This window comes from Homo sapiens, chromosome 7 (genome assembly GCF_000001405.40).
Source record: "Homo sapiens chromosome 7, GRCh38.p14 Primary Assembly".
NCBI lineage: Eukaryota > Metazoa > Chordata > Mammalia > Primates > Hominidae > Homo > Homo sapiens.
The window spans coordinates 126,715,460-126,730,726 of NC_000007.14; the positions used below are offsets into that span (position 1 = coordinate 126,715,460).

Consider the following 15,267-nt stretch of genomic DNA (forward strand, 5'->3'; position numbering starts at 1 on the left):
ATGAACTTTAACTTTTATAATAGATTCATGTATATTTTATGGCAGTAAATAATAAAATAGGCTAGAATCTACATTTTTTACATTTGTGGTATACCTACCTTTCTGATTTTTTGCTACTTCTAAGCTACATAATTTATCTGTGAATTATCTCAAATTGTCACAAATCTCCAAAAAAATTTCCAATACATTTATTGAAAAAAATTCGTGGATAAATGGATCCATGCAGCTCAAATCCATGTTGTTTAAGGATCTACTGTATTTGTTTGCACCCATCTCTATCTCTCCAACACCAATATTCAAATATAGCTAGGCCATGTTTCTATAGCTAAAATTTTGCTTTTGTAGGCTGAGGTAACCTTACTCCTATCTTTTCAAATACCCTTTCTATCACTGCCAATGGCTTTTCTGTCCCATTTCCTTTATGGATAATTCCAACCAAAACTGATTTTATTTTTTCTGACCACCATGATAGGTTATTAACTGAGCATGTATTTTCACAGTTGCTTATAATTGAACTCTGTTCTCTAATTTTTTTTCACATGCATAAGTCCTTTCACCTAAAATAGATTTTATATCACCTAGGCATAAATATATTTGCATCCTCTAGAGCAGACAGACATATAGTAAGTGCTTAATAATACTCAGTTTGACACAATTTAATTGAATTAAGAAGCATTTAAATTTAGGCAGGAAAACTGAATAAACATTGAATAAACACTTTTTTTTCTCTCTCTAAAATGCTCATCTGGCTTCTTTTTCAAAACAGTTTTTTTTTTTCCTTACATATAGTCAGGGTCTTAGACTCCTGAATTGTAGTCTAATTGGCCTAATTTGAGACTCATGTTGGCAGCAACAATTTCTGTAACTATCTGGAGTTGTGAAGCAGTTAGCCAGAGAAGTATATTTGACAGCTAAGTTATTTCTCTACAGAAAAAAAAAAAAGTGTTGAAATTCAGAAAGGGATCAGTTAGGCTTGTAATAGTTACTGTTTTTCTATAACACCCTTTGCTCCCCGTGGCATCTGCCTATGTCATTCTCCTTGGGTGCTGAGGGTGGGTGCTGCTAGAACGTATGACTTCATGATGCATCACTCAGGATTCCTTCCCTAAATTCCCCTATGAAATGTTGGTTTTCACCTCCATCATCCTGATGCATGCTCTCTTTTGTCCAAAACTTCTACTCTGTTGTGTATTCTATGTGTGCCTGTGCCCAGAAACTTCAAGAGCCAAGGACTTTCATTCTCCCTGAGGATGTTTCTAAGGATCTCTCTACTCTCATGTATGATTTTTTACAATGTTTGTAGGTAGAAAATAAATTATCGGTGAGGAGAGAGAAAATGAAGAAATGGGAGTGATTGAGAGGAAAGCATGAGGGAGAAGAGGAAGAATCATGAACATGAGTGGAGGGGTTATTCTCTAAGAGGCCAGCATGCTCTTCTTCCACCAGTAGGGAGGAATAATAAACATGTCAAGAGGAGCAGAAAAAAGATAAGAGTTCCTTAAAATCTTTTGAGGTGGAGAAAAGGAACTACATGAAAGATGATGGTAAAGAGCCTAAAACTTTTCCCTGAAGAAATAGGGAGTAAGATCATTTGCCTGAGAGATGCAGCAGATTATGAAAATGACTTGGGACCATCTTTGTGAGATTTGGGCATCTATTAGAGGGTCATGATTGTGGTGAGCACCTGAATGAAAGTGGCTGGCACAAATGTATTATGGTATAGTCACTGAAATCTATGGCCCTCAGGCAACTCTGGATAGGGAAGAGAGAGAAAGTATGGACAATGGAGCTGATCCCTGAGGCAAATAATTCTAGAAGGGTGGAGATGGAAAGCACTGGTGTGACTGACAGGAAGGTCGAGGCTTGTGGGGTGGAGGGTGAAATAAGAGTTGTGGAGATTTCATGTAGCATGCATGTGAGCCATCCAGGGACACGAGTGCTGGGAGTAAGCGGGCTCACCAGACACAGCCATCCTTCACCCTCCTTCACACCAGGAGGGCAGCTCAAACATGTTTGGGACATACAACTATGGACTTTGGGACATACAACTATGGACAAAGCTTCCCCAAAAAGAGACAATTAGGAAAAGTAATACAGGCCAATAACCATGCTTTCTCTACATACTATTTCAAATAAGTAGACTTTGTAGTGTAACCTGCATTTCTACTTCAAATAATTGTGGAATCTAACATTTTAAAATACATTCCCTTTATATTACATATTACCAATTTACATACTTGTAAAAACATAAAAATTTAGGAGGCAATAATTTATTTACTCAAAATTATAACAGGACTTAAATTACCAATTATTTTGGTTAATATCGGAATAATTTTATGGACAAAAAATCATTTACTTAGAAACCGTGCTAAGAACATAAATTTAACATCATCTAAACTCTTTGCTTATTTCTAGGAGTAACTCTTTCATAAGTACATAGTTAGATAGGTTCCTTAGTTTGAATGGTGATGTCTTTAATAACTTCGGTGTTGGCCGGGCGTGGTGGCTCACACCTGTAATCTCAGCACTTTGGGAGGCCAAGGCCGGCGGATCACAAGGTCAGGAGATCGAGACCACCCTGGCCAACACGGTGAAACCCCGTCTCTACTAAAAAAAAAATACAAAAAATTAGCAGGGCGTGGTGGCAGGCGCCTGTAGCCCCAGCTACTCGGGAGGCTGAGGCAGGAGAATGGCGTGAATCCAGGAGTGGGAGCTTGCAGTGAGCCGAGATCACGCCACTGCACTCAGTGTGACAGAGTGAGACTCTGTCTCAAAAATAATAATAATAATAATAACTTCAGTGTTTTTTTCTCTATTTACTCAGTTTTCCAGAGGGAAGGCTAAGCTTGTTCCATATTAGGAGGTTAAAAAAATGCGTACTTCAGTGACCAAGAGTGTTTATACCTGACTATTTTAGGCTCAAGCTCTAGGGTGGGGGTATAGTTGATTCACAGATTTTTTGGATTTTGATTCTGAAATTTCATATCCTGGGGTGAGTTATTTGCAAGAATTTGTAGTGATGAGCTTTTGTCTCCCTGTGCTAGTGAGTTGTTTTGCTGCTGTGTGGTGGAGGCCAGGACTTTTCAGGGTGATGCCTCCACTAGCTACTTTGCAGGGCATCATAGCCAACTGAGAGTCAAAGGTAGATGTAACCACATGTGAACTTCAGACTTTCCATTTGACTTGCATCTCCAGCCCTCTAGAATTATTCACTGCAGGGATCAGCTCCATTGTTCATGCTTTCTATCTCTTCCATGTCCAGAACGGCCTGAGTGCCACGAGGTTCCAGTTACTGCACTATTATATGTTCGTGTCAGCCACTTTCACTTGGGCTCTCACCATGATTATGAACTCCTTAGAGATACTCAAATACATTTCTCATGAGGGTAGCTCCAAATCATTTTCATAATCTGCCATACTTTCCAGCTAAATAACCTTACTATCTACTTCTTTAAGGAAAAATATTAGGGTCTGTACCATTATCTTTCATATAGTTACTTTTATATACTTTGGAAATAATTTAATGTAAAATCAATACTGCATATTGTGGGACAATGGAATTACCTGGGTTTTGGAGTCAAACACATGTGAGTTCAATTCTTAGATTAGCTACTGAAAAGGTGGGAGGGTTTAGAAAAATTATTAAAGCTCTGTGAACTCCAGATCTTTTTTTACCTAAGTGTGTATTATAATAATAGACACTTTGCAAAGTTATCATAAAATATAAATTAATAAATGAGATAATATTGATGGGATAAAAGTATTTTGCATAATTTTTGGCACACAATAAATTATCACAGTATGCATTAATCGTTTTAACTTACTGAGTGATATAAAAGGATATTTTGAAAGTAGTTGTTATTAACACAAACATAGATTTCACTTTCTAAACTACATTAAGTGGTCAAAATAAAATGTTTACTCAATAAAGTATTCATCAGCATGTTTTTAAACCTATAGGAATTCTGCTGCAATCATATTCCAGTAACTGGGTAGGTCTGGTTCAGGTATTGTACTAAAAGGAGTCATGAACTAGGTTGTAAATGATTTTGTCAAGGTGTCAGTCATGTCATACATGAAAGTATGCTGTTGTAAGTCTGTGAGAGTCAACATGTGTGAAAAATAACAATGAAGGGCCAAGGAACCACCACGACACCTTACAGAGGTGTATTATTGGACAGCCCTGTGATAGCTGTGATAGCTGAAGTTTGCCCAGGCTGTGATCCACTAGTTTTTAGCAGGGTAATCTTTCTGTGCAAAAATGCCACACAATTCACCAGGCCTCCAGGGAGCTGGGAAATCACAAATAGACAGAGACTTGAAGAGTGGGTGGATTTTTTTTTTTTTCTTTAAAGCAGCAGCTGTTAGTTTAAAAGATAGTCTTTAGTCTTGAAAAAAAAAAAAAAGAAATACAAGGTATTTACTGATTTCTATAGCAAGTTCTATATTTTTTCTTTTCCCTTACTTCTTCTAATTCCAATGTTATGTTTTTTAAAGTAATAGTGATAATTTTATCAGTGTCTCTAATTTATAATGTCTCTAGTAAGAGTAGCTGTTATATCAATATACTATAAACATACCCTTTCTTACTTGTCACTCCCTCCTCTCCTTCTGCTTCTTACCTTCCTTTCTTGTCTCTCTCTTCCTGTTCTTCCTTTATTATGTATATTTAACTCATGTTATTCTCACAATTTTTTTTTTTTTTTTGAGATGGGATCTGGCTCTGTCACCCAGACCGGAGTACAGTGGCATAATCATTGCAGCCTCAACTTCCTGGGCTCAAGTAATCCTCCTTCTTCGGCCTTCTGAGTAGCTGGGACTACAGGCATGTGCCACCAAACCTGGATAATTTTTTAAATTTTTTTTTGTAGAGACAGGGTCTATGTGGCCCAGGCTGTTCTCAAAGTCCCAGGCTCAAGCGATCCTCCTGCCTCAGCTGGGATTACAGGTGTGAGCAACTGTGCCTGACCACAAGTTGCCTCTTAAATGAATAAGTGGTTATTAGAGCAGTCATCATTCTTCTGACAGAAAACCTTCCTGACAAGGGTTTCATATGTGAATATAATGAAAGCAAAATTTAACTTTTAACCAAAAATGTTGCAGTATATTCATTTGAAAAGGATGACACAGAAAGGATAAGTAGATTATTTCTGAGACCCCATACACACTGTCTTTACAATTCCAAGATTCATAATTCTAATATACTAATAAAATATAAAACTTTTAGTGTTTATAAATAGACAAAAATACATGTGGATCTCTTATACCAACTGAATTTTATATATTAATACTTCCTCGACCAAAGGTATTTCTTTGTAATTTTTGTCTTACTTTTACAAAACAGGAAAATGAGAAAAAAGTAAACTTTCACTAGACAGAGGTAGAATTTTCATTGGCATCTCTAAGAAGAGTATGGGGAGACTCAGAGCTTTCAGATGGCTTTTGAGGAAACTGCTTTGTGTTTATTTTGCTGCCTTCCTTCACTTTTTCCCTCTAGCAAACACAGAGATTAAAGATCAGTGTGTTGGCCATTCTACTGTCATCACAACATAAAATGTTTTCTGCTCTCTTGAGCTGACATCTCATCAGCACTAACAGCTTGACCCTACACCCCAATGGTATATAGGATATACCTGTCTTTAAAATGTGTGAACAGAATGTTATCTGCAGTGATTTTTCTTTTTATCCTTTGATCTGTCACTATTTCTTCACAATGTCAAAAGCCTCAGGGCTTGGCTTGAATGGTGATCAAACCCAAAGGCACACAATTTTGGGTCTAATCCTGAATCTACACAATCAAAAATCTTTTCAATTCAGACCCAAACACCATACTTTGTCTTACAATACTGAAGTGCAGCCATCACTAAAGCACTGCTTTCCCCTTTGAGCTTTTTAAAGAATGAATATAATGAGGTTATAAAGAAATGAAACATTTCTTTTACCAACTGTACTATAATAATACATGCATCTAAAGAAATGCATGCTTCCATGACCTTTCAGAAGATTAAACTCTTTCTTGGTGTTGTTGCCATTGCCCACAACACTTATTGTGAAATTTCTTTGAAATCTACTTCAAAGATATTTTCCCAGGTTCATCAAAAAAATCAAAGTGATCAATTTATTTTCACAGAACATTCAATTTACCTAATACTTTCTTCCTTTCATTCTTTCTTTACCTCCTTCTACTTAGACTTGACCTCTCCTGCACTCCTCTGATTGTTGATTCGCTTTCATTTAACAAATGTTAATTGAAAATCAAGCTCTGTCTGTGAAGATGACTTCCCTCTACCTGTATTAAACTGTACTGTCGAAAACTTCCTCTAAGTCTCTCTACCCCATTCTCCAACTTTGCAAGGAACAACACTCCTGATGGTGCCTCTTTTAATAGGCCTAATCCTCACCTCATTTTGTAGACCCTCTAGCTGTTCTGATTTTTTTGTTGTTGTTTGCTTTTTTGAAGATTAGGCTAGGACAAGACCTCCTAATCCCAGGATTTGAAAGACAAAGTTGTACCAATGAACACTTAAGCAGAGGGACATCAGGAGGTGACTAATTTATATGCATGTTTCTAATAAAATTATGAACTATGACTGGGTATCATGAATAACTAGAAGATACTGTTCCATCAAATCTGCACGGACACTCTATTCTTTAACTTTCCTCCTGGGCGTCATAAAAATTTTTAATCTTATTTCCAACTGGACCTCTCCAGAACCCTGCATGAGGAACTCAACCCAACATGTTTAAAACTAAGTGTATTTTCTCTCTACAGAGTGCCCTTCCTCTTATATTTATTTTAATTAGCAACACTTCCATCACCTAAAGGAAAGTGAGTTAGCCTAGATTCTATTTTGTTATCCCTTTCATCTAGCCAAGTATCACCAAGTGTCATACAATCTATCTCCTACATACTTCTTGAATCAGCCTCAGGTTCTGCATCTAGTACCACAGCTCTCATCATCATCCACTAGATGAATGTCATAGCCTTTTAGATCTTTCTGCCTCAGGATCATCTCTCTCCAATCAGCCCTTCATGGGACTATGAAGATGATCTTTCTAAAAAACAAACTATTTATGTCACTGTGTAGCTTAAAAAGTCTTTCTTGTTTCCTATAGCCTTGAAGATAATTTTCCAACTCTCTGCTACTGCTTATATTTTGAGCAGCTAATGCTACCCTTTTCTCACTAAAGAAACCAAGCACAAGCAAGAATGCATCCATGATAACATGTTCTCCCTTCTCATCTTCTGTTTTGAGCAGTCTTCTTACGTATCACAATAATAATTGTGGGTCATTTCTATCACAGCACTGTCACATTATAACTTGTTCTCTTGAATGAACTTCATAATCTTTAAGGAGAGGGGCTATCACCCAATATTTGGCACAGTGCTTGTGATAGGCAGAATCATGCCTAATCCTGAGAGCCTGTGAAAAAAAATATATATAATTATATATATAATATGTTATATATAATATATATGTTATAGATAATATATAATATATGTAAATATATAATTTACATATATTATATATAATTTATATATATAATTTACATATATATAAATTATATATATAAATCAAATCAGACAAGGCTGTGCATTTGCAGGTTTTCTTTGGAGGGTGCTTTTCCCTTTATTAATAAAGAACAGATCACCTTATTTCCTCAGGAAGAGGTAGAAATTGAAGGGCTGTAATAACGCCCCTTTCTCTGCCTCTTCATCTAGATGAAAGCAGATCTAACTGCGGGTGGCATTAAAAAACATGATGTGAAGAGGTATAAGAAATATCTTCTTCACAATTATGCCTCCTTCATGAGACCTCTTACATTTCTTTATTTCACCTATATTTAGAAATTATGTCAATTAAGAATCCCCATTTGCTGTTAGCTGTTGGCTTCATTTGAGAAGTTACTACAGATGTAGACCTGCGGCCAACGGAACAGGCCTGGGTGGAGGAAATAGAGGCCCGCAAACTGATCTGGAATAAAGAATGAATAAGCCAAGAATTAAAGACCCCCATGGATGCTAGAATTCAGAACATGACAGAATCAGAACAATGGCTCAAGAATTTGTAATTATTAATGCTCAGAGGCGAACCAAAAAAAAAAAAAGTTTCACTTTAGGCAACAGGACACCCACTGCCAAAGATATCAAGGGAATCAGTGTTCTTGTTAACAGCAATACTTTGGGAAGCTTTGCACTCATAGGTGTGGGCAAATGAAAGTGTAGTTATACTGAAAACAATGATCTGTAGAGAACTTTGAAACTCCAAGAGAATTTTACAATTAGCTACATCTTTGTGTGAATCATCTAAGCAAACTCTATGTCTCCTAACATCTACTTAAGTTCGGCCACTCTGGGCAGTGGGTGAAAAGTAAGAATGTTGAAGAATTTTAGGTCAAGGTAAAAAACACAAGTGATCAGAAATAACAAGAAGGAAAAAATCAGAAACTGTTAATTTTAGTAAAGGCAGCACCTATGCATATGATGCACTCCTGGCCTCCAGGAGTTTACATTTGTTAGTTTCCCTTCAAAACCTAACAACATTTACATAGAGGGCATACATTTTTAAACAGGTGTCTGTGTGAGGTGATTAAGTGATTATGTTTTTATGTTTTCTCTGCTTGGAGATATCGTGATTCACTTGAGTCCTCCTCTCAAGGCTTAGAGGAAGGAAGCCGACTCAGCTACTACTGTGAGTTCTCTTCAATGAGATATGGAAGATTAGCTAATTGTTCACCAAACTGTACCTCTTTTCCTCCTGAGCAGGCAGCTGTATTTCCCAGCATCCCCTGTAGTTAAGCGCAGGCCTGAGTTCTGCCAATAAAATGCAAGAAGTGTTGCATGACAATTCCAAATCTGGCTCTGAAAGGCTTCCTGCTGAGTCTCCCATGCTTATTATCTTCCCTCAATTGACTAGTGAGGTGCAAATATACAGCAGGAAAACTCGAGGCCCTAGAGGATGGCCAAGTCACTGTGTGAAAGGAACCTTAGTTCCCTGAATGATTGCCTGGAGGAAAAGTCCCTCTCAGCCTCACTTACCTGCACTGGACTGTGATAATTATAAAGCAATCAGCCTTTTTCATGTCAATCCACTGAGAGTCTGGCATTGCTTATTACAACTGGTTAACCTAACAAATATGTATGGGTATCTCAGGAATGCTTCATAGTGATCCATTTATCTTCTTTATGGTTGTGGAAAGTGTGTAACTTAAGAACACTTTTATGTAAAGCACATTTTAAAATATGTGCCTGAAAAGGGACAGCTGAAAACATGTACATATGTATAATAAACTATTTGCAAAAAAAAAAAAAAATTGGGGGGCTTTGACTGTTTTAATACATCTCCTGTTATCTTCAAAACTGATTTTAAGCAGTACTTTAAAAAGAAGTGAAAAATCACTGGCTTGGGGAAGAGAAGAAAATGAAATAAACAAGACATCCAAAGTTACTTGAATGGATGCACATTCTTATATATAGCTGGAAACAAATAGTACTTTGTGTCAGGTTTTACAGTCTGTGGGATCTCTCAGATGAGGTTCATGCTGTGAAAATGAATTGCAAAGGAGATGACAAGAACAGATGTTTGCTCAAGATGACTGAAGATGTTTCTGAAAGCATCAAAGTGTACAGTCTACAAGTTATCAGCAGACAGGTAGATTGTAGCCAACTTTTAGATTTGTATTTTCAGACAAAATTGGCTTCTCTAAGGGTAGTTTTATTATACTTGGTAATGAAAGAAAGTGATCTGTGTGTCACTTTTAACTTAGATTGTGAATAATCACGTACATAAATACATGTGACGCATGTTTATTTCAACCCAAGGCATCCCTCTTTACAACTGAGCAAAGAACATGCCCTTGTCAGGCCCCAGATTGTGATGCTCAAGACCTCACAAATAGAAGCAGGAGGCCCTATCTGTTCTTTCCAAGACTTACACTGCCTAGGACGAAGGTCCACAATCCCTATGTTGACTAATAGTAAGGCTAAAAGTGGAAGGAATACAGAATAATCCAATCTGGTCCACTCCTACTCTAAAGCCCTGACTGTAACAGAATGTCTTCTGGCTTCCAATAGAAACAAGGAATGACCTAGAAGCTAAGAATATAAGCTTATGAGGCCGACTTAACCAATTATCAGGTTGGACATTTAAATGTACCTGTGTTATATAATGGCTGTTCTTGCACTGCAATAAATAAATATCTGGGACTGGGTAATTTAAAAAGAAAAGGGGTTTCATTGGCTCACAGTTATGCAGGTTGTATAAGAAGCACGGCGTTGGCATCTGCTCAGCTTCTAGAGAGACCTCAGGAAGCTTACAATTATGGCAGAAGGCAAAGCGGGAACAAGCATATCACACGGCCAGACTAGGAGTAAAGGAGATTGGGTTGGAGGTGCCACACACTTTTACACAACCAGATATCCTGTGAACTCAAGAGCGAGAGCTCACGTGTTATCAAGGGGATGGCCTAAGCCATTCATGAGGGATCTGCCCCCAGGATGAAAACACCACCCACCAGGCCCCATCTCTAACACTAGAGATTACATTTCAACATCAGATTTGGGTAGGGACAAATATCCAAGCTACAGTATTTCTCTGTGTTTCATTTTGAAGAAAATGTTAAATGGAAGTAATAATATTTTCTCACAGCATTTTTTGAGAAGTAATATAATTAATACATGTTAAACTCTTTTAAGAGTGTCTGATGAATAGTAAACTCCATGCCATCCACTATATCATGGTTATCATTCATGGATCAGGTTAAAAAAAAAACGTAGAGGATAGGGAAGTCCCCATTCTAGTGGCAGTCACAGACCCCTTGTTCTGTGATTCTTGGAGAGCAGGCAAGCCCCTACTTCAGTGGCTTGCCTGCTAGATGGACCAGGAGACTTGGAGTCAATAGTTCTTTGATACACTAATCCAGACCCTTCACAAGCATGTGGATCCAGACTCCTAAGGGGTGATACACCTCTGTGCCTGTGCTGATGAGCGGGTCCCTGCTCTGGCCACTGCTTTGGGATAAAAAGCTTCTCCCAGGCAAGGTGGTCCCAATCCTCCAAGTGGTCAACAATTTCTGTCACTTACTCCCCATCCTGGCCCAGAACAGGGCTGGGGCCCTGGTCCTATTGCCATTATCTTCCCCAAAATCCTCCAGAATCTGATGGCCCTTTTCTACTAGTGAGACAGAGTCCATTATAATTCAGAAAACAAAAGAGGAATTGGAAAGTATCTGCCCCTATCTCCCAGAAAAATCTTCAGATTTTTATAAAAATTGGTATATCTTACTGCAGAGCTATACAAAGTGAAACAAGTGTTTTTTAAAAATCTGAAACTGTAAGCCCAGCAAACCTTCCAATCTAAAGAAAATTCTGACAAAACCAAGATAGGCCACCCAAGATTTGCTCCAAGAAAAAAAAACCATTTCTGGTTTGCATGAGTAATGTGTTATTATTTATAAAAATATTGTCAAGCACTTAATATAAATTTACATATTCTTGATATATCATTTTCCTCTTTAATAAAATAAAATTCACCCAAAGTATATCATAGTTCTCAATTAGCTATGTTCCAATTACTGCATAACTTTTTCATAAATTCTATACATACTTACGTGTATTTAATCATAAAAATAAAATAATTTTAACTATTATCTAAATATATTTAAACCAAATATTTAAGTAGGTAAATGACATAAATATAGAATATTTACATACAATATTAATATATATCAATATATAGGTTCAACAAGACTGCATTTAGAATATTCTATATAATTCTGTGGGTTGGGTATGACACATTTGAGTGCATTAAGAACATACTTTTTAAAAAATGCTGATCATTGACATTCATATATTAATACATGAAATCTGTATATATTTAGAAAAAATATTTGATTCCAACTTTAATTGCCTCAGAATAATGTAAGATTTTTAAATATAGTATATGACTACATGGGAATTTAATTAAAAACCTATGCTTAATGAATTGGTACAATGAAGATCTTAACAACTCAATGGGATCAGTTTCCATATAGGTAGATGTCCCAGATACAAACTTTTCTAACTTCCCCCTAAAATAACTATAAACACTAAGGAAAACATAAAAGGAAATACCTCATTTAAAGCAGGTACTTACAGTAAGCCTAATTCCAGGATCTGGAAAGAATTTCAAAATGGCTTAAAGTGGATTTTAAAGCATACCTGGTGGATTGCCCAGAACAGAAAACACTTGCTCATCTGAAATCATACACACACACACACACACACACACACACACACACACCCCTAAAAAAACAAAACTATAGGTCCTCCCCTGCTGTTTGCCTCTCCACACTCAATATCTATCTCCCACAACCTTTAAGACATAATAGAATTTTAACAACCTGAAAACTTGAGTAGCTGGGCATTACAGCCAGCTGGGATGTGTATAGCAAGTAGTTTTTTACTAGTATTATTGTATGTACACATGAGCACAATTAATATAAGATTACATTATTGATGCTTACATTCTGATATGATTGACATGCTGAAAGGGGCGGAGCTACTAAGCCCTATAGACACAAAAGGAAGTGAGTCATGCATGTGAACCTCATTTTAAGAAATGCCAGGAAGAAAATTGTTGAGAACTTGTCTACTCCACAGCCACTGCTTTAAAGGCAGCATGAGTAATCTATCTGCCACTATCCGCCACGCACCCTCCCCACTGCCATTAGTGCTCTCTTCACAGATCCAGTAGGGGACTGCAGCACATGGGTAGCAAATCAAGGAAGGGAGAAACACGTGAACTAAGGCCATTCTCACAGTGCTGTGCCACACAAAGCTCCTCCTGTCTGTGCCCTTGCTGACAGCGCTGCTTGGAATGCTATCTGTGCAGAACCACTAATTTCCCTTTGCTTCCTGAAGAAATATGGACCCCAGCTGGCTGGCTCACAGCGGGAGTAGAAGAAAAGATCCCATTGCAGAGCAGTAATGATGCAGAAAAGGAAAGCCTCCTAGATACTAGGAACTGGGCTTGGAGCTTTGTGTTCCAATTGTCTTCTCAATCTGTGAAAGACCAAACAAAGGAGCAGAGAAAGAATCTCAGAAAAGCAGCATACCCACACTGGCTCTGGAGAGGTGGGCCGTCCACACAAATGCACAAATAAGAAAATAAAAACATACAGTAACTTTGAAAAACACTCGAAGACAAGGAAAACTTGATTCTGAAAAGTCATAGGAAGAGAAGACCTTTGAAAACACTTCAATACAGGAGCTAGATGAACAACTCAGAAAACTGATCAGCTCAACAGGTGACAAGGAGGGACACCATCCATGGTCCAGGGGAGGCTTCCTGCTGGCTTCTGGGCCCTATGTGAGGTGCTCCCAGCTGCCTGCCCTTATTCCCTGTTCTGCCCACCCTGTTCTCCTTGCTGTACCTTAAACATGTCAGACACTCTTCTAGCCAGAAAGTTCTTTCCTGAGATAATCGCTAGCCTCACCACTTCATTTCCTTCAGGTCTCTGTTCACACAGGACCTTTTCAGAAAGGCTTTTTCTCTGACCACACTGCTTAAGTAGCAGCTTCCTTCACTCTTTTTCTCCTCACCCTGCCATAAAGGCTTCACAGCCCTTGAGTGCAATGGCAAGCTATCATAGTGATTAAAGACCTGATTCCGTCCCCTCCCACCTGTATGAAGTTCAGCTAGCTATTCACCCTCCCTTTGCTTCATTTTCTCACGTGGCACCAATTGTAGCCCACATGATTGCTGCCCCACCCTCTCCTCAGTCACCATTCCAGAGTGCTCTGATGGCTTCACACTGCTAGTACCTGCAATCTGTAGCCAGAAAATGTCATCTGGCCCCAGGAGCATGTTCAACCTATGTGCTAAGCAGGACAGAAGAGCCAAGGAGTCAAAACTCCAGGGAATGGCCTTCACACTATGGTGAGGGGGAAGATAACTATCTCAGCTTCCTTACCCCTTGGGTGGAAAAATTAAGGCCATGTCGATTCCAGAAGTCTGCAGCCAAACTAAGACCCAGTTGCCCATATCCTATATGCCGTGTAATATATTTCTTCTCCTTTCTCTCCCTGTCTTAGTTCTCCACTCTTTTACCAGTCCAGCACTGGGGAAGTAGCAAGCAGGTAACTTCACTAAGTTCCAAAACATTAATTGTGTTTTCCAGTTTAGAAGTTCTGCATTTGGCAGATACTGGGTAACTGACTAGCCCTAAATGAAGTGACTTTTGTATGTGATTACCTTGTGTCACCTATGATTTCTTTTTCCTCATCTAAGATCTCAGAGAGAGGATCTCGAGCTCTGAAATCCCACTGAAGCCTTAACTCAAAATTATTTTTGGGTTTGTAAGAATAAGTAAATGTCTCTCAAGTATTGAGGCAAAAGTAAAGACCTTAACTAAAGAGGAATGGACATCAGATTGTCCTAAGCTACCTCTACTACATTAACTGCTGGATGACAATGTCACAAATCTAAAGAGTTCTGGAGCAAAAGTCTGTGTTCCAAGCTAAGATAATAGAAATATAGTATCAGATATGCAAGAGTTTAGAAAGACGATCTTTTACTGAGAAAGTTCAATTGGAAAAACAAAACACATCGATCAAATAAGAGGAGAATCAAAAGTAACAACTTAGGAATAAAGAAGTAATGTAAGAGTAATGTTTGAGTGTCTTCTATTCAGATCAGACTATGATGTAAGACTCATGGAACTAGGAAGATTAGCAACAGTTCCACACATAAACCATAAATTGTGTCAAAGAAATAGTACTAGCAATGCACTGATTTAGAAGTTGAAATAATTTGGGATCATAATGAAGGCTATGAAGCTTGATCAAAGATTTGAAAGAAAAGATGTGTATTTGTATGGATAGGAAAAAAAATAAAATAAGAGCACTTTTGAAGTTGGAAAATGCCTGAGCAAAGATCCAAGATTAGAGATGCTCAAGGTCAATTTTTGCCACAGTGAATACACCAGCTGGACTGGAAATACAGAAATCACTGTAGCATATCAGGATGTAAATTTGGAAAAGTGAATTTGGGGTAGACTGTGGGGGGACCTGGATGTCAGACCAGGAAATTAAGAATATTTTATTTTGTAAACAATGTGGAACTGTTGAGAACTTTGTGAAAAATCAAGTAGCTAAGGGGCACTAACCTGTATCTGTGGAAGAATGAGGCAGGATAGAAGCCTGTCACAAACATTTGAAAAGAGAGAAGGGAACGTGAAAGATATAGTGCGATAAACAAAACAGCAATAGTTGGTAACTGCTTAAAT

The 15,267-nt window shown here is 37.9% G+C and overlaps 1 protein-coding gene across 25 annotated transcripts in view, besides 1 other annotated feature; it reads right to left on the reverse strand.

The window, feature by feature from the left end:
• Window positions 1-15,267, reverse strand: part of GRM8 (glutamate metabotropic receptor 8) — an 814,344-nt gene that overhangs the window by 276,862 nt on the left and 522,215 nt on the right. The gene's annotated exons all lie outside the window — the stretch shown is intronic.
• Window positions 4,827-4,876: an enhancer, noted in NCBI's record as "active region_26581". NCBI's record gives its function as "activates an Ori minimal core promoter by ATAC-STARR-seq in GM12878 lymphoblastoid cells {active_cell/tissue: GM12878}" and the evidence as "EXISTENCE:reporter gene assay evidence [ECO:0000049][PMID:35858748]".